This window comes from Homo sapiens, chromosome 1 (genome assembly GCF_000001405.40).
Source record: "Homo sapiens chromosome 1, GRCh38.p14 Primary Assembly".
Taxonomy (NCBI): Eukaryota; Metazoa; Chordata; class Mammalia; order Primates; family Hominidae; genus Homo; species Homo sapiens.
This window is the reverse complement of record NC_000001.11, coordinates 196,042,866-196,064,220: the sequence shown is the minus strand read 5'-3', so window position 1 is coordinate 196,064,220 and position 21,355 is coordinate 196,042,866. Positions and strand designations below refer to the sequence as shown.

General features: G+C 33.7%; 1 long non-coding RNA gene across 1 annotated transcript in view; it reads left to right on the top strand.

Annotated features, from left to right (window-relative positions):
• LINC01724 (long intergenic non-protein coding RNA 1724) overlaps positions 1–19,341 on the top strand; it is a 43,836-nt gene extending 24,495 nt beyond the window's left edge. Inside the window, exons 2-4 of the long non-coding RNA NR_146895.1 lie at positions 933–1,052; positions 3,042–3,224; positions 18,682–19,341. This is a non-coding gene — a long non-coding RNA (long intergenic non-protein coding RNA 1724). The remainder of the gene's footprint in view (positions 1–932; positions 1,053–3,041; positions 3,225–18,681) is intronic.
• The last annotated feature ends 2,014 nt before the right edge of the window (positions 19,342–21,355 follow it).

Below are 21,355 nucleotides of genomic sequence, written 5' to 3'. Positions count from 1 at the left end.
CAGCCTAGGAGTGAGGAATGAGTGCAGGGAGAGTGAAGCCGTGGTCAACCACAATAAACTCAAGCTGTGTTAGATCCATCTTGAAAAGACCTGACCAAGATGCATGCCTGAAAGGTCATGTGTGAGGGCAAACTGCTTGTTTTATGAACACATTGTTTCATTTTTTTTCCTTGAGGGCTATTTATAGATAAATTTTTTCCCTTTTGTAACAATGAAATAGAATAGAGATCACTTATAGGTTTCTGTACAACATCGTTTAGGTTAATATTCAACTTGCAAATTAAAGGTAAGTGGTTGAATCAGAATAATACTTGATCATAAAAATAAAATGATACCAAATTTCTATGTCTGACATGATGCTGATTCCTAATATAAAAGGAATTCATATTTTACTCTCAATGACCATCACATAGTAGTGTAAATCCTTTAACAGAAACAGACTTTCTAAGTTTCACTTAATACTTATTTTATCTTTGCTTTAAAGATTAATCAGTTACTATTTTTCTACTCTTAATGTTTTTGATAAATGGCAAAAATGAGTCAGTTTTTACAAGATAAATAGTTATTTCAAAAAGAAAAGGAACTTGAAGTTAGGAATAATTTTGTGATGCTTTTCATATCATTCACGGTAGAATCATTGAGGATGGTTCAATAAGAAAGAGCTTGTTGATTCAACGGTCTGTGGAATTTCATCAGCCTTTCATCTCATATTGATGTTAATATTGTGCCAAGATGATTCACATAAGAAGCCATGCGTGTGATTTTGTCTCTAATTTTGGTTCTGAGCCAAGTAATAAAACATTGTGAATCCAATCTTATCACTAGCATAATGGTAAATTAGCTGTGAAATAAAAAAAATTAATCTCATTAATTTTAGAGATCATGATCTGCAGTGTAAAAATATTGCTTTAATTAATCAAATTGTATTTCAGACAATGTGAAAATACTTTCACTTCAACCCCATGAAGATTACATAGAAGAAAATGCCAGATGAAGTTCCTTATTGTTTCTCATTCACAGAATTTATTTCCACTAAGTTATTAAAAAAATGGGTATGTATTAGGCATGTATATTTATGGGGTTTATGAGAAATTTTAATACAAGCATAAGTTACTATTTTTTAAGACGTGAAAGAGGAGAAAAATTAACACTAAAAGTGTTCCTGATAGTTTTCACAAATACTTTTTTCAAGACTCATAATAATCTTACAAGCAAGTCTTTATTATCTCTGTTTTTATAGGCAAAAAATCTAAGTGTCATAGGTTAAATGATTTGGCCAAATCAAAAAGGTAGTAAATGATTTAGCAGGACTAAACATTTTTTCCAGATTCTAAATAGTGTGTATGATTTTCCCATAAATATTATGTATTCTTGAAGCTAAAGAAATTGTGGAGACAAAAGTGGCTCCACCTTGATCTGCCATGTTGATTTCTGGTTAACTCTAGTCCCATGAATGCCTCCTGATTTTTTTTTTTTATTATACTTTAAGTTTTAGGGTGCATGTGCACAATGTGCGGGTTTGTTACATATGTACACACGTGCCATGCTGGTGTGCTGCACCCATTAACTCCTCATTTAACATTAGGTATATCTCCTAATGCTATCCCTCCGCCCTCCCCCACCCCACAACAGGACCTGGTGTGTGATGTTCCCCTTCCTGTGTCCATGTGTTCTCATTGTTCAATTCCCACCTATGTGTGAGAACATGCAGTGTTTGGTTTTTTTTGTCCTTGCGATAGTTTGCTGAGAATGATGGTTTCCAGCTTCATCCATATCCCTACAAAGGACATGAACTCTTCCTTTTTTATGGCTGCATAGTATTCCATGGTGTATATGTGCCACATTTTCTTAATCCAGTCTATCATTGTTGGACATTTGGGTTGGTTCCAAGTCTTTGCTATTGTGAATAGTGCCACAATAAACATACGTGTGCATGTGTCTTTATAGCAGCACATTTTATAAGCCTTTTGGTATATACCCAGTAATGGGATGGCTGGGTCAAATGGTATTTCTAGTTCTAGATCCCTGAGGAATCACCACACTGACTTCCACAATGATTGAACTAGTTTACAGTCCCCCCAACAGTGTAAAAGTGTTCCTATTTCTCCACATCCTCTCCAGCATCTGTTGTTTCCTGACTTTTTAATGATCGCCATTCTAACTGGTGTGAGATGATATCTCATTGTGGTTTTGATTTGCATTTCTCTGATGGCCAGTGATGATGAGCATTTTTTCATGTGTCTTTTGGCTGCATAAATGTCTTCTTTTGAGAAATGTCTGTTCATATCCTTCGCCCACTTGTTGATGGGGTTGTTTGATTTTTCTTGTAAAATTGTTTGAGTTCTTTGTAGATTCTGGATATTAGCCCTTTGTCAGATGAGTAGATTGCAAAAATTTTCTCCCATTCTGTAGGTTGCCTGTTCACTCTGATAGTAGTTTCTTTTGCTGTGCAGAAGCTCTTTAGTTTAATTAGATCCCATTTGTCAATTTTGGCTTTTGTTGCCATTGCTTTTGGTATTTTAGACATGAAGTCCTTGCCCATGCCTATGTCCTGAATGGTATTGCCTAGGTTTTCTTACATTATTTATTGTCCTTACAGTTCTTAAACTTTAAAAACTTCAGTGTAAGAAATGTCAGTGTTGATGTTATTGTACAAATTATAGGCTATGATGTACATAGCATTCTTACCAGTTCTGGGGGGTTGTCTGTAATTGTCTTGCTGAAGCACTATACCTTTTCCTTATGGAATATAAGCCTGTGGAATAAGCATAGGGAATACATTCCCTATGGAATGTAAGTCTGGGAGGTGACAATGTAGAGATCTACCTTCCTTATTGCCTCCCAAGTCCACACTTCTGTCTCTAAATTCCACCATTAAAACACTTTTTACTAGCAAACTGGGTGTTTCTGCCTCATTCTTTGGTTTCTAGGCTCCTGTGGAGTTTGGGGGCTGCTTTGCACATGTGACCCTTTCACAGAACAGAGATATATATGGGAATAAAGCTATAACCGTAATTCAGGACTAATCAATATCTCTACAGGCAAAAGAAAGTGGAACTTCAACTGTTCCTTAGGACAATACGGACTTGTGTTTTTGAAGAAGCAAAGTGGAAATGATTAGGCAGCAGGGACTCTTTGCAGAAAAACGTAAGGAGCAAAGAAAAATTTCTCAGAAAAGGAGATTTGAAGCACAATTGTCATCAGTTCACAGAAGAATTTTGAAGGTAAATAGCTTAACGTTTATCACCTGACCCCTTCCCCAGAGTTCCAACCACATACCACTGATATCCAGAAAAGTGATAAATTAGTTTTTACTCACCAGTGTCTTACATATTCCATACCTTTCAGTCCACTAAGAGCAAGTGTATCTCATATGCTGCTTTTATTTTTAATATATGGAGATCATGATCTTACTACTTGGCAGCATAATGCATTTTGATATGCAGCTTAGGGAACAATTGTCATTTTGGCTGTCTATTATTATCTCATGTACAATTTGCTATGTAACATCACTCAATGCCTTGTATGGCACTGCAACCTTCTATGTAACTTTTGACCTTTTAATTTGAATTTCAGATTATTATTATTTTTACTCAGATGTATTGTGGTTCTTAGCATTTTCCTCAGTAGAATAATATTTTATCATTTTCTCTTAACTATTCCTTAGTTCTCTATCTTGTTGGTGCCAAGTATTTGAAATGCAGAATAAGTCCATAATTAAACTCTGTGTGCCCAGAAGTGAAGGATCAGGGCAATTACTTTAATACATTCAAATCTAATGCAAATTTCAGTAATTAGCCATGTGTATTTGTTTATGTAAGCATACATAAACATAGAAAAGGTACAATAAAATTTATTATTTTAATCTTATGGGACCACCATCTAATATGTGGTCTGTCATTTATCAAAAGTCCTTATGTGGCACATAACTGTCACAGGAAAAGAGACGAAGAGTTGTAAGGGTGTCTTAGTCAGCTCCAGCTGCTATAAAAAAAAAAATCCATGCACTGCTTATAAGCAACAGAAATCTATCTCTCACAGTTCTGAAGGTCAGGAAGTCTGAGATCAGGATGCCGGTATTGCCGGGTTCTGGTGAGGGTCCTCTTCCAGGTTGCAAATTGACAACTTCTCAGTGTCCTCATGTGGCAAATGGGGCAAGAGAGCTCTCTGACTTCTCTTTATAAGGACACTAATCCTGTCTGTGAAGGTTCTGGACTTTTAACGTAATCACCTACTGTAGGTGCCATTTCCCAATACCATCACAGTAGGGGTTAACATTTCGACATGTAAATTTTAGAGAGGTCACAAACATTTAGTATATAGCAAGGGGTGTATATTTTTGGCAAGGGTTACTTTTATTATTATCCCAGGGATTAGTAAGAGCTATAATGTTATTGTTTAATCCTGTAGTATTTGTTGGTATTGTCTATGAATTATAGCATTTTGATTGATTGTAGCAAGTGCGAGCATTTTTATTGTAATATTGGGTGAACACAATTTCTGGACATTCCGTAAATGAGACTTGATAGATAGTGATTCATTGTTCTGTTTGTTTGATAGCACTAGTTAATAAAGTGTGTTTTATTTTGTTGATTTGAAGTAAACGTTGGCTGATAGGACTTAGAAGGTGTCATTGAGTCACAAGTAATATCCAAGAGTCTGGTTTAGCTGGAATGAGTGTTGCTAGTGGTGGTAGAATAGGAGGAGGAATGCTAGCCTAAGTGTTGATGTTTGTGGTGATGTTACTAGGACTGATCTACCCAAATAGTCAACAGTATGGTTCCAATGTCCCCAGACTGACTCATGTTATTTGCCTCCCCCTGGTGTACACATTGCATGCTGTTTTCAGACATAGCTTGTCAGTGGTAGGGTGTAAATTACCAAGACTAACATGATTCTCCAGTGGATGTGTAGTTACCACTAGCAAAGGTAAAAACTTTTCAGATAAGAAGGAAGAACAACATAGTAGAGGTTAAAGATGGAGGTCATCTTTAGCAAGAAGCAAGAGATCTGGTTTTACCCTTGGTATCGACCAAATGGTATTACCTGGTCTGGGGTGGGGGACAATTACTTCTACATCATGTTGAATTTCTACATGTTGAATTTTCTACAAGAGACAAGAAAAAGATGAAATTACCCAGTGATATTCCTTTGTTGTCGGCAGTAATGCCAGGGCTCCCATGCAAATTGGTTTGCATTTTTCTGTGCAAACTAGCAATTGTGGTTGTGTCTACTGTGGTTGTATATACCAGCAGAGGTCTCAGTGTCTCTACAGATGGTCTCCTCATTGGCAGTGAATTTAAATATGATGTACTTATGCCATAAAAGGGTGAACGTAATATTACTAGGACTATGGGGAGTATTTTTAACCGCTTGGAGGGCCATTGTCATCCAAGTTCTCTGAATAGACCCTGTTTTAAGGCTCATATTTCTTTTTATGATACATGTTCCTGTAAAATAATAGAGTAAGTGAAAATACCAAGCAATATTAATGTATAATGTTGACTGTTCAAATAACCAGGAGCACCTGCAAGGCTTCTCCCATGCTTATGGCTTATGGCATTTACTAATGGCCGTTGGCAGGCAACTCAAGCACCAATATATACCAGTCTGAACAAGGAGGGACATGCAATTGCCCACCATACCAAACCTGCACATAGTCATTGACTCAGAAACATGTACTATGACAAATTTAACCACATGCTGGGGTTGCTTCTGCCAGCCTGATTTTATGTAACATAGAATAATACTCTCCCCTCTCCAGGTTCCCCTGCAAACCTCATTTATCATAATGAGCCTATTCCAATAACTGTCCACATCCAACAATAATATACAGAGACTGATATCATGCAGATATCTGGACAATAATAAATTGAGCCCATAACCAATTTAGTAGACCCAGGTGCTCATATCATACGTGCTTATTTTACCCTAACCTTTATCAACACTCTCTGCAATTGCACCAAACTATAAAAACTTGCCTTCATAGAGACACAGAAGAGAGGAAGTATTGTGGGCCTGTAAGGGAACCAAATGGTTTTTCCTCATCAGACCCTGGACGATATTTCCTGCACTTTGATTTGGATCAAAATTCCAGTAGATTTTTACTCAGCAGTGGAAGCCCACCACGCCCCCTCCTTCCAAAGTTCTTGCCTCTATAAACCACACTAGCCACAACTCTCCAATACTGCAAATGAGTTTTCCTAATAGTCTTCAAAGTGCTAACCACTTTAGGATCACACATTTCTGGGACAGTAAGAATAGCATATGTACAACGTACCAAACACAATTAAAGACACACGGTTATCCATGTCTAAGGTGTTAGCCACACAAATTAAGCAAATGGCCCATGGACTAAAACTCTTGGTTGAATCTTACCATACGTTAGTGGCCATTATGTTAGATAATTCCATAGTCCTAGATTTTTTTATTGGCTACCAAATGAGGGGTCTGTACTCCAGTTAAACATCTTGCGGTATGTGGATAGGTAGGAACATGGAGCAAAGGGCCATAATAGCACTGTACTGCCCAAACAGATTGAGCAAATTAAAGTCTTTTCTGAGCTGTTTGCTTTGCTTTTCCTTAGTACATGGTCAAACAAGCTGCAAACACCTTCTGAAATCCTAATTCACATCCTTTTAAGGGTCTGAGTCAAAGATACTTCATCACTGGCTCTAAATGCAAGCATTAGATTGTAAAACAATATGAGACCAAGGAATGGATTGTTATATACATGAGATAAGGATACCCTCTGTGTTATTGACCCTCTGTTGTTTACTTTTTCATAGCAAGCTGGGACTAATTAACTCAGAAGGCCTCCAGCATCAAACCCAAAATTGTACACAGTGGTTTCACACATAGCTCCAAAAAGCAGATTATAACAAGCAACTTAGGCTATCACCTATGTATACCATACAAAACTGCATTTAACATCCACTAGCCGTTGATAAAATAAATCCTGTAGCTAAGAAGGAGCCCCAGCTGCTGCTGCCCTTTGGTGCTCTCTGACCCAGAGACCCCCTGCTGTGTTGCTGACTGATGTCACCTAGACACACAATCCGCCTAACTGGTACCCTATCCTGTGTGAGTTCCTTTGCCTTCTTCTCCTTCTGTGTCATAGCCTCTGGTGGTCGTATGCTATTATGGTCTTCCCATGCATGCAAACCTGTCAAATTCTTACCCAAATAAAGCTCATTGTGTGTTCCTGCCACATGGCGATTATATCTTTTTCCCTGATCAGGATCCAAATCCCTTAAACTCACTATACTGGGGCCATAGGGAAATAGAAAAAGAGACCTGCAAATAATTAATTGTGTTTATTTTTTTATTACAAAGTGTTCAGTTAAATATGCAAAGTGTTCTGACCCAAAAATCAGGAAGGGAGAACTTAGTCTGTGAGATCTAGGCAACTCAAAGCCAGATTATTTATTTGAATTCCTTCCAAAGGCTCAAGACTACTAGGAAATGGTCTTGAGCCTTTGGAAGGAATTCAAATAAATAATCAGTTTAATTGAAACTTATCATGTCCAATAGTATTATCCTTCTTAATCAAAGTAAATTACAATTAGAATGCTTTAACTTGAGAAATAAAGTCCAAATTGGTGTAAATCTGTAGCTAAAATAGATAACAGGAGATAATTAAAATGTTACTTTTCTATTTACTTTAATTCCAGGTCCCTCTAGCCATATTTAATTTAGTTCTGACCATATTGTTGAATAGATTGAAAACAGCTGAAGGGCACTTATGCTTTTGACCAAGATGGATTAACAAGGATCAGATTTACCCTCCTATAGGAATAAATAAAAACCAACCAAATATATAAAATGGTGATCTTAGAAAGTTATTATCAGGCAATAGATAACAATTATTCCTGAAAGATGAGAAATAATAAGGCAAGTCCTAGAATTACTCCAGTGTATTGCCTTGAGAGATTTTCCAGATCTTGGCATATATAGAGAGAACCAGATGGAGACTATGGAATCCTTGAGTCAAAGAGATGAAGCTAAGGGTTGAAGAATGACAAAGAAACTGGAATTTTTAGGACAGAGTATCATAGAGTAAAGAGATGCCCAGAAATAGAATTCTGGGGATCTATAGAGGATTGCCCTTAAATATTCCATGAGTCTTGGTTAGCAATATGTAGGAGGAAACTACCCAAGACCAGGAGAAGAACATGAAAGATTAGAAGAAGAATACCCAGCACTCATAGAGAATGTGGAGTAGTGTCTGTTCCCACTAAACAGGATGGAAAATAACATAATTGACAGGGCACAGGGTAGAGTATACAGAAAAGTAATGCTTTAGCAGTGGAGAATAATTAGCCCTACAAAGAGGACTGCTCCAGAACCACCTAGCAAACCTCAAATGCAAGACAAAAAAGGATAAAACTCTTTCCAAGTAGTTAACTGCATCACAAAACAAAGCTTATTTATAGAAACACAAAAATTTGCAGCATCCATAAAAGTAAAATTCAACTGTTTGAATCCAATGAAAAAATTAGCAGGCATGCAAAGAAACAGAAAAATGTGACCTATAATAAGGAGAGGAAAAAAATTAACCAACCTATTTTCCATGCATTTAAAAAGTTAGTGGAGAGAGAAAAGTTATTTAAAAAGATTCAAATGGAACTATTAAAGAAAAAAACTACAATGTGAAATTTGAAAAATAACTTGATAGGTTAATGACTACGTAGAAATTGAAAAAATAATAAACTTGAAGGCATAGCAACATGAATCATCTATAATTTTACATAGACATTAAGGAGGAGAAGAAAATAAACAGCATCAGTGAGCTGTGGTACAACTTCAGGTTACCTAATAAACCTACAATTGGAGTCCCTAAAAAAGTGGAGTGCAAAAAAAATTGACATAATAATGGCTAAAAGCTTTCAAATTTGGTGAAAATTATATAGCTGCTGATCTGAGAAGCTCAGTAAATCCCAGTGAAAGACTACTATACCAAAATACATTATAATCAAATATTTCAAAACTAGTGATGAGAGAAAATTTTTTTAAAAATCCAAAGGAAAGAAACATGTTATGTACAGAGAAAAAAATAAGATTACATCAGATATTTCATTTGAAACAATGCAAACAAGAAGAGAGTAGATACAAATATTTAAAGATCTAGAGTGCTGCAGAAAAAGAAACTGTCAACCTAGAATGGTATAGCCAGTGAAAACATCCTTCCAAAAAAAAAAGTGAGTTTAAAAAGGGAATAATAAATACAGTTTAAGGCAATGAAAAGTTGAAATAATTAATCACCAGCATACTCTCACCACCTAAATGTTAAGCTATATTTTTCAGGCAGAAGAAAAAGTGATACTTGATATAAACACACATCTATGCCAGGGGTTGGCAAACCATGTATCACAATCTGCCCAGTAGCCTCTTTTGTGTAGCCACGAGATAGCCTGGTTTTTATACTTTTAAAGGATGGTAAAGGAAAAAAAAAAAGAGAATCTGAAACAGAGACCATATGTGACCTGTAACTCCTAATATACTTAAAGAAAACTTCAAATTCATCAGCTGTACAAAAAAATGAAAGTACTGGAAATGTAAATGTGAATATGTGGAGAAAATATATATATCTATTTTTTATTCAAATTCATTTAAAATATAGTTGACTACTTAAATATAGATAATAGCAACGAAATTGAAAGTGAAGTGTACGAAGTAAGTAGATGTTGTAACAATAACACACAAGTGCCAGCTGGGGATAAAAGGGAAGTCCATTATTTACTGTGCTTATACTATAAGTGAAGTAATATAACAACATTTGAAGATAAAGAGTAACAAGTTAAAGATGTATTCTATCAAAATAAAGAGTCGTAGCTAATATGTCAACAAAGAAGGTAAAATGGAATCGTAAAATTAAATAAATCCAAAAGGCAGAGAAATAGAAAATAAATAGAAAATAATTGAAAGAGATAGAATAAAGAATAGATGGGAGAATACAAAGTGTACAGCAAACTGATAGTTTTAAACTTAAAAATTTCCATACTCACATTTTATGTAAATAGTCTGAAAAGCCAAAATGTACAAATAGAAAAATTAAGGAGGAGAGTAACATTAAAAAAATGATAAACACCACCTTTAAGCAAAATACTTTAAATCTAAAGATATAAATATTTTAAAAATGTATACCAGGCTAAGTCTCTCATACTACCAAAAGAAAGCTAAAGATTCTTTTTTAAATATTAGAGTTCAGAGCAAAGAATATGGCTAGGGATCAAGTGGTCCATCTCATAATAATAAAGGTACATATTCATCTGGAAAGCATTAAAAGGTTAGGTGTTTATGTATTTAAAAACGGTTTCAAAATAACAGAACTTCAGAATACATAAAGTCTAATAGAATTTTAAGAAAAGATTGGCAAATTAATAATGATAGCTGGAGACTTTAATACCACTTTGTATAAAAGAGATGATAGAATAAATAGATAGAAAATCACCCCAGGTATACAGCAGTTGACTTGAAAAATATAGATGATTTGAAATTAGGTCAACCTACCTGATCTAATTTAATGTATAGAGTAGTCTACCCAATAAAAGCAGAATACATGTTCTTATGATGTAGAACACATGGGATTATTTGGGAAGCATTCATACTTTGTCAATTTTCTGGAAGAGTTTCTGCATGTAATACTTTTACAAAGATTGATCATATTCTAGCAACTTTTAATAAATCAACTATAACAACTAACAACTTTTAATAAATCCAAAATGATTCAAGTCTACAAAGTATATTTTCTGGCCACAATGGAATAAAATTTGATATTAAAGACAGAAAGATTTCTGAGAAACTCCTAAGTAGTTTCAAAATAAACAATCACTTCTAAATAATTGATGAGCCAGTGAGAGAACCAAAAGAAAATTACAAGTATTTTGACCTAAACGAAAAAGAAAAGATGACATTTGAAAATGTATATTGTATATTGCAAAAGCAGTACATAGGAAAAATTTTATACCACTGAATTCCTATAACAAAAAAAGAAGAAAGGTCAAAATCAAAATCAATAGTTTGTTTTTGAGAATAATTAATAAAATTGATTTTAAACCTTTAACCAGATTAATTAGGAAAAGTGATATTAGTATAGTTTCTAAGCAAAAAGTGATATTAGTACAGTTTCTCTAGATATTAAAAGAATATTAGGAGAATGTTATGAACAACTTTATACCACTGTATTTAATAGTTTATATGAAATGTACCAGTTTTTTGAAAGACACCTACTACCAAAACTTACCCAAGAAGAAATAAATTGTAGAGTCCTATATATAAAGGAATTACATTTGTAGTAACAAACCTTGCTACAAATAAAATTCTAAGTCCAGATTACATCACCAGTGATTTCTACAATATATTTGAGAGAAAAATAATACAAATTCTAAACAAACTCTTCCAGAAAAGTGGAAAGGAATACTTTTCAAGTGAATCATGTGTATGGAATTAACCTGACACCAAAACCTAAACAGAAACACTTCAAGAAAACTACAGACCAAAGTACCACCTGATGAAAGTTACAAAAATCTAAAACAAAAACAGAATACATCAATAAGCAAAATGAATAATACGTGGTGACAAAATGGTTTTACTTAGGAATGCAAAAAATGCAATGTAGTTCACCATATTAAATTATTTAGAAAAAGATCATCTCAATAGCTATGGAAAAAGTCATTTGACAAAATCTAGAATTCCTAATAAAAGTTTTCAGCCAACTAGGCATAGAAAGGAACTTCCTCAACCTCATGAATACCAACTATGAAGATCTAGATATCTCATCATATTTAATGGTGGAAGACTGAACACTTTCTCCCTAAATCAGGAACAAAACAAGGATGTCTGCTCTCATCATTTCTATTAAACATTTTACTGGAGGCTCAAATAGTGCAATAAAGCAGAAAAATGAAACAAAAAGTTTCCAAATTGGAAAGGAAGAAGTAAACTGTTTTTATCCACACAAGGCATAATCGTCTTTTTAAAATGTTTATTGGAATCTACTTAAAATCTAATAGAACAGTAGTAATGCATATATGAAATAATATACATCAATGTAAATAATCAATTACATTCCTATATATTAGTAATGAAAATGAGAAACTGAAATTTTAAAATACCATTTACAATAGCATCAGCAAGTGGTAAATATGTAGAGGTAAATCTGAAAAAAAGCTGTGAAATATCTGTATGCTAGAAACTATAAAAAATTGCCAAAATAATTAAAGAAACATAGACATAGAGAGATATACTGTATTCACAAGTCAGAAGACATATTAATCATTGAAATGTCAATTCTCCCTAAATTAGTCTACAGGTTCAATACGATCCCAATGGAAACTTCCACAAAAGTTTTAGCAGGGATTAAGTGGCTTTAACATTCATGTGAAAATACAAAGGGCCTGGAATAACCAAAGCAACTTGTTTAAAAAAAAAATCCCACAAAACTATCAGAAGAGACAAAGAGTATTAATACTATCTTTCAAAGACAATGTAAAGCTACATCAATCCAGAGTATGATGAACTGATGTCAAGAAAGACAAATTCTTCAATTTACTTTATATCAAAGGTATTTAAAAAACAACAGAGATCATGTTTGGGTCATATTAGGAAGACATACTTGAAAATATCCAGAGTTCTGTGACACTCAATTAAAACTAAAGCTAAAATTTACATTAAAGAAATTGATAAGATTGAGCATGTATTGATACTAAAAAAATAATTTTTGAAGCACCATGGTGCTTACTAGACATAGTGTGCATACTATTACATCCTCATACATTTAAATCTTGGCCCAACTATTTAAGACTTACATCTAATGTTTAGAGCTCTTCCTATTTGTAAATAATAGGTGATAACACATTCTCTTAAGGGTAGTCGTTTCAGCCTGAGAAGTTATGCCTGTCATAAATATCAGAGGCAGTATGGCAAACAGTAGGAGCTCAATAAATGCTGACTTTCTCAATTTTTTTTGTCTGTGAATAATGAAGGATAGAGTCTGTGCTTATTTCATGTGCTTACCCTTTATGACTAACATGTTATTTGGCAGAATTTCAACAAATGCCAGCTAAATTAAATCTTGAATCAAAATAATCCAGAACTGCAAATAATTGCCAGAAAAAAATATCCAAAAAAGTGTAGGAAGAACAATACACAAAAAATAGAGAAGAATAGGAATAGAAAATGTCAAGTATTTTAGAGCAAAGAACATTTGCAAAAGTTGCTTTTATTTTTTTCAGGTTGACTAATCAGGAGACTAGAAACTATATTTTCATTGAAGACAGGTTTTTCATTAAAGTGTGGTATTTATTTGTTATTTTTAGAAGTTTGAAGTTTAATATCAAAATTACAAGTCAGAAATAAAAACTGTGCTGCTACAGTCTGAAAAGTGAACACTTGTGCCCTAAATTCAAGCAATAAGTTACATATAGCTAATCTTAGAACAACCAGTTTAGAAAATTAAAACTTATAGGGTTTAACAATCTTGATATCCTTAAATGAATTACTCAACAACATTGCCATTTGGGGGGAAAAGGAATAGAAAACATCATAGCAAAAAATAATAATATTTTAAATTTCTTTATCTCTATGTACTTCTAATAATGATGGTAAATCAATTTAACATCAGGTTAAAAACTTTTTCACTTTCTATCTGCAGGACACTGGCTATTTTTTATGTACATAGAAAATTAGTTAAAAACCATGTATCCCGAAAAGGAATTCTAACAGAATAATCAGAACAGAAACTGCTGTCCAAATGATATTCACAATATTTCTGAAATTGAAGAGTTCATTTGCAATTTTAGATGTGCTGTTTTTGACTAACAGAATAGAAAAATGAGGAAATTCACAGTTAAATAAAATTTCTGAGTTGAATAAATACATCAATTGAGAGAAAAAGAAATAACCCATATTTTGCCATTGCTATAATAGCATTCGACTGCACACATGCATAAGAAAACTGTTCGATTTGGTTAACATACTTTTTATATTATTTATTTCACTATGAATAAAGTTGAAAACTTGTATATCTTATAAAGGATGTTTTGTACATAACACATAGAGTAGTTTGTATTTTTGTTTTGAAAATAAGGTGAACCAGCAAAGGATTTTAAATAAGAGTATTGCAAAATCAGGACTGTACTTTTGGAAATTCATGCATAATGCATTGAGAAAAATAGAGAAATATTAGTTAAAATTATTAATACATGAAAGAAAAGATAAAGTACTAAGTTAATACAGTGGTAGCAGTGGTGGCAAGCAAGGGGAAGTCAATTACATTTTGGTGTAGAGAAGTTATATGTGAACAAGAAAGTACATCTATCTTATATAACTCACAGGCTTCTAGCTTAAGAAAGTAGGTAATCACTGGTTTCTTTCACGAGCAGCGAATATAGGACAAGTATGTTATGGGGGAAGAGAGGCTTAATTTTATACCTGATGCATATGGGACACTCACGTATAAATGGAAGTTGAATATATAAGACAAATGCAGAAAATAGAGGCCTGAGCAGAAGAGAGAGATTCATCAGAAATAACTAGCATACTACAAGTAGAAATTGAATGTTGAATATGGAACACATTTTCCAAAGGAAGATGATAGAGTGAGGATAGATGACTAAGGAAAAATCTCTGGGGGACTAGCCTTTAACTACCAGTTGAATGAAGAAACAAAAGAGTTACCATGTAGTTTTGAAAAAACCTGAAGAAGACGATTCTTTTTTATTATGACAGAGACATTGAGATTTATTCATTAAACACCTATTTATTGAATATCAACTATGATACAATTGATCAACTATATCAATTGTAGCAGATACTCAAGACACAGGCGATAAAATTAAAAAAAGAAATGGTAGAGAATCTGCCCACAAAAAAGGCTTAAGCCTAGAGGGAAATAAAGTTAACTATATAAGTATGTAACTTGGAGGTAAAGGGTGTGCATGAAATAGTGGAAGACAAAACAGGTTAAATATAACTAAAAAATAAAGTGTGATAGAGCAAGGGCCATTAGTAGAGGTAATAAAGGAAGCTGAGAAATTAAGAAATAAAACAATTGACCACATTATCTTCTTCAAACTCTCTTCCATTTATTTCCCCAATGGATAATTACGGAGGAAGGGGGGATGTGTCTATAGCACAGGCTGAGAATTAAATCTGATGGAAAGAAATAATATTTATTCCCTTTCAATTTAGGTAACAGAGAGATCGCCAATCAGGATCGTGCAAATTCTGGTTCTGCTACATATTAACTACGTGGATTTAACTAACCGCTGCAATGTTACCTAACCTTTTGAAACTTCAGTTTCATTATTTTTAAAAAAGATGCCAATATTAGTATCTATCTGATATTAAATAACATAATTATTGATAACGACTTTTTTAGCACAATTCTTTGAATATATTAACAGATCAGTAAAGAGTGTTACTATGCCTTTTATTGTTTCTGAGAGTGGAGCTAAAGAGGAGAACACATATTTCTCTATGAGAATAAAAATTTGAGAAAATTCATGAATTATGAATTATCATTCAATAAATAGCAGAATGTTCACCAGAAATGGGGATTTGAAGAGGGTAATTAAGTATAAAAGAAAAATTGAGAAAAGAGACTAATAGGCAGGGTCAAATGCCCTGATGAGAAATTAAAACATGAAGTTCTTAAAATACATAAAAATACAGAGTTTATTTTTCCTTGGGAATGCTGGGCATCTTAGGTGTAGGAAAAGAGACGCTTTTTTATTGTTTGCTTGTTTTGTGGTTATAAAGAAATATTTTGTGAAATGACCATTCTTAATTATCAAATAGAAGGTTATCTATGTTCTCATTAGGTAATTTTCAATACAGCATACAGTTGAGGGTGGTATTGCAAACAATATGTAACTAGAACATTTTGTAAGTATTATGAATATTTTAAGTATGGCATTGATGATTTCCAGCATAAGCCAGTGCAGGTTCAAACGTATCCCAGAAACTCTGTAGTAGCTCTGATCCCCTTAGTAGTAATCGGAGAAAGATGCACCAACCAGGAGATTAAGGGTACTGAGAGGAACGGCGAAGGCGCTACAGGTAAATATAAATAGTAAATGCTCTAACTTCTCTCTCCCTCTTCTTTCTCCTGCTACTGACTTCTCCAGCCTCCTCCTTTGTCTTCCCTGCCTCATTTTTCTCCTCTCTCTTTTGCTTCCACTTAGATTTACATATTTGCTTAACATTCAACTCTGAACATAGTGTTTCTAAGAAATCTATTGATTTGCATCAACCTGGCTGCTCAAGTAAGCAGTCACTTTGCCTACATAAGTTCCTAAACTAACTGAACAAAGATTTATTAAGTACCTTTACTAAGTGATTGGGACTATATTAGGCACTGTTTATATAAAAATATACCAAAAGAAGCTTGCATTCCAATATTTAGCAAACTGGTTATCTTTCTTTTTTTTTATTATTATACTTTAAGTTCTAGGGTACATGTGCACAATGTGCAGGTTAGTTACATACGTATACATGTGACATGCCGGTGCGCTGCACCCACTAACTCGTCATCTAGCGTTAGGTATATCTCCCAATGCTATCCCTCCCCCCTCCCCCTACCCCACAACAGTCCCCAGAGTGTGATGTTCCCCTTCCTGTGTCCATGTGTTCCCATTGTTCAATTCCCACCTATGAGTGAGAATATGCGGTGTTTGGTTTTTTATTCTTGCGATAGTTTACTGAGAATGATGATTTCCAGTTTCATCCATATCCCTACAAAGGACATGAACTCATCATTTTTTATGGCTGCATAGTATTCCATGATGTGTATGTGCCACATTTTCTTAATCAAGTCTATCGTTGTTGGACATTTGGGTTGGTTCCAAGTCTTTGCTATTGTGAATAGTGCCACAATAAACATACGTGTGCATGTGTCTTTATAGCAGCATGATTTATAGTCCTTTGGGTATATACCCAGTAATGGGATGGCTGGGTCAAATGGTATTTCTAGTTCTAGATCCCTGAGGAATCACCACACTGACTTCCACAATGGTTGAACTAGTTTACAGTCCCACCAACAGTGTAAAAGTGTTCCTATTTCTCCACATCCTCTCCAGCACCTGTTGTTTCCTGAGTTTTTAAGGATTGCCATTCTAACTGGTGTGAGATGATATTTCATTGTGGTTTTAATTTGCATTTCTCTGATGGCCAGTGATGATGAGCATTTTTTCATGTGTTTTTTGGCTGCATAAATGTCTTCTTTTGAGAAGTATCTGTTCATGTCCTTTGCCCACTTGTTGATGGGGTTTTTGTTTTTTTCTTGTAAATTTGTTTGAGTTCATTGTAGATTCTGGATATTAGCCCTTTGTCAGATGAGTAGGTTGCAAAAATTTTCTCCCATTTTGTGGGTTGCCTGTTCACTCTGATGGCAGTTTCTTTTGCTGTGCAGAAGCTTTGACAAACCTGAGAAAAACAAGCAATGGGGAAAGGATTCCCTATTTAATAAATGGTGCTGGGAAAACTGGCTAGCCATATGTAGAAAGCTGAAACTGGATCCCTTCCTTACACCTTATACAAAAATCAATTCAAGATGGATTAAAGACTTAAACGTTAGACCTAAAGCCATAAAAACCCTAGAAGAAAACCTAGGCATTACCATTCAGGACATAGGCACGGGAAAGGACTTCATGTCTAAAACACCAAAAGCAATGGCAACAAAAGCCAAAATTGACAAATGGGATCTAATTAAACTGGTTATCTTTCATTGTTGTGTTTGTGATGTATTTTAGTCCTAACATTAACAGAAAATACTAATTTAAAAAATATAATTTATAGTGTGATGCAACCTGTTGTGCATTTTGATAACATCTAAGCATTACAATTATTTTCTAGAAGAATACAGTTTCGATTTTATATGGAGTTAAATAGAAAACTAAACATAATGTAAAATAATTTACCTAAGCAGGAACTCAAAGATTTTATCCACTGCTGACATTTTATATGAAACTATGAAATGATTTAGAAAACATTTCAATGAACTATCATCCCTTTTCAAAGAAACATAATACTCAAATATATCACTTCATAGTTTTTTCATTCAGAGATTAAGAAAAATAGAAAACATATAAACACATAATTCTTCAAAGTATATGTGTTATGAATCCTGTCTAAATGAAGTACATTTATAGTTGTGAAAATGCAACTTCCTTTAAAACATTCTGATGCAGTATTTCTTCTCTTTTCTTTTAAATTGTTATCTTATGAATAAATTTATTTTTTAGTACTGCAACCTGAGATCAAAACATTTAGCACCATAAGATCAGACTAGTCAAAGTATCTGTAATAACCCATTGTAGAGTACTAAAGAAGTATTATTCATACTCGCTACTGTATTGCGAATTATGTGCAAGCACAGTTCACTGAGCAAAGTCAATGTTCAGTAATTATTAGTAGAGTGAATGAGCAGATATCATTTCCATTTTGTGGTTTGTTACTAAGTGCTTTAAAAATATCAATAATGAAGTCATACAGTCTTAATTTGGATGAGCTAATTTACATGTTTATTTTCACAGAAATTTATAAATATTTAATGATATATAGAACTAAAATAGTAAAACACATTGACTACTCCAAATGTAGAGTTTGCGTTTTGAAGTCAGTTTTTAAAAAATTTTTCTTCATAACCCTTCTGATATCTCTAATCTTTCTTCCATGCAGTTCTGTTTCCAGAGGCCTCTCTCTGCCTGCCCAGAGACTGTACATCTTCAGAGATGAGCAAAACTCTGCACTCTGCAAAATCAGCACCCTCTGTCTAATCAAAAGTTAACTTGGCCCAGGTTTTAGTTTCTCTGTAAGTTTTGTTGGAAAGTAATATAATAAATCTTATTACAAGATACAGCTGATTATGTATACATTATGTCTTTGGAGAAATTTGCATTTTAAGAGGAAGGTCAAGGATGCCTTAATTACAAACATTGCATTTTTGGTTATTTAAATAGTATCTGGGAAAACGGTGAAGATATATAGGAAGTTAAGAAAGATACCTGTATCTACCACGTGTGAAAGATTATCTCAGTAAATAGAATTGGCTACATATTCATCTATTATAATAATACCAAAAAAGAAGATATATATCTTCAAAGCGTCACAATTTTTGTAGTCAGCAAAATGAATGGCAAAGATAATGAGAGAATAAAGATACAAAAATGAGTATTTAAAAATAGAATTCCAATGGGAAAACTGTTAATTTTAAAAATTATATGTAAAGATGAGGTTGCTGTTAAGCATTTTACACCAATAGAGATATCAATTGGAATATTTTATGTGAAGAAAAGAAATAATGACTTAACTTTGTCAATAAAGAAAGCATCTACTTGTGTTCTCTTGTCTTATTCCTTTTACTTCTGTTGCACTCGAAATGATGGCAGAACTTTTGATTTATCACATTTTTAATTGGTCTCCTTGGTGACATGTTCCATATGTTTATTATTCATTTAGTCAAGCTTTTCTCTGACTTTACTGTGATACCTGAATGCTAATTTTTCTACTTTCCTAATCCTTAAATATATCATTTATTCAAAGACAGAGCCAGTATAAAGAATCTCCATTTATTATTTTCAGAAACTCCTGTCCCTATTTTTCACATTTCTTGCAGAATCACTGGAAATACTTTCAATTAACAAATAGTAAAAGAATGACACTCATAACCTGGGAAAAAGAAGTAAATTATTTGTTTGCCCTCACGCATTTGAAACCATTGTAAGAATGTGTTTTCTGGCTAGGCACGGTGGCTCAAGCCTGTAATCCCAGCACTTTGAGAGGCCAAGGAGGACGGATCACTAGAGGTCAGGAGTTCAAGATCAGGCTGGCCAACATGGTGAAACCCCGCCTCTACCAAAAATACAAGAATTAGCCAGGCGTGGTGGCGCACGCCTGTAATCTCAGCTACTCGGAAGGCTGAGGCAGGAAAATCACTTGAACCTGGAGGTGGAGGTTGCAGTGAGGCGAGATTGTGCCACTACACATCAGCCTGGGTGACAGAGCAAGACTCTGTCTCAAAAAAAAAAAAATATGTTTTTTAAATCAAATGTCTAAACCATTTGTTGAACATAAAATCTACACATTTCAATTTAGTTTTGTGTCAAATATCAAGTCACTTAATATATTTTTATCATATTGCAATCTTTTAAAGTAAAATAGAATATAAGACTTATTTAGAAATATTACACATTTATAGTAGTTTTAATTTTTGATGTCTTTTGATAATCTGGATACATTACAAACTATATGTAAAGTATTGATTTGTATTATGTGTAGATAAAAGATAGCAAGGGCTTAGAATACATCAAAGTAAGCAAAGAAACAACACTTATTCCATTATTATATTTTAGATAATCATCTGAACCTCTGTTAGTTAATTAAAATTAGCAGGCTTAGTTTTATATGTCTACTTGATATATATATTCAGATACTTAAAGATGATAGTTGATATCTTGGTTGGAAGTTATACAGGGAGATATATATATATATATAAATCTTCAAAATTAAAATTGTATTTGCACCATCCTAAATACCTTCCAACCAAGACACCAATTGTAGAGTTTCTGGTGGTGTTCGACTCCTCTGTCAAATTCAAATATTAAAATTTTCACAGCCAATGATACTTGAGGACCATTACACAGGCATTGTGATAAAATTGAAAGGATATGTTATAATTTTTGAGTTCACACGCAGAGCAGGATTGGATTTGCCTTGCAAAAGGGCTTAATGCCAGTGCCATTAATCATCTCCTTTCCAGTTTCACTGCATCCAACACTCACATAGATGAACAGACCTACACAATCACAGTCAACAGGTACACTGTAGGAAGACAAGATTTTTCCTTAAATGCCAAATATTTAATATAGAATATTATACTTTAAGCAAGGGGAGAAGGAGTAAGTTAGCATACTTGGTTAAAAAGAGGCAAATGTATTTATAGACTACATGGAATATGACAAACTATGTAGGGCACTATGTAGGACCCAGACCAGACCAGGCCAGGATGGTCATTTCAGGCACAGGAGCTAAGAGTTTCATCACTTCTTGATGAGGAAGAGATGGAGATTTAAAATTCATTGTGCATTTAGATTCTCATTTCAGAAAATGAATTCCGTTATCAAGAGAGCTTTTTTATTATCTTTGTAAAATTTCAAAGAAAAAAATCACTGTGGATATTTTTATATGAGAACATTTTGAATGATTAATCCTACAAAGCTATTTTCTATCTCATCATCTGGAAAACAAAGTATACAAATGCAGGAAAACAGCCACTGTTCAGAGTCCAGATGAGGTCAGCTACATTATTTTTGTAGTTTGCTCATAATCTGTATGAAAAAATGAATAAATTTCA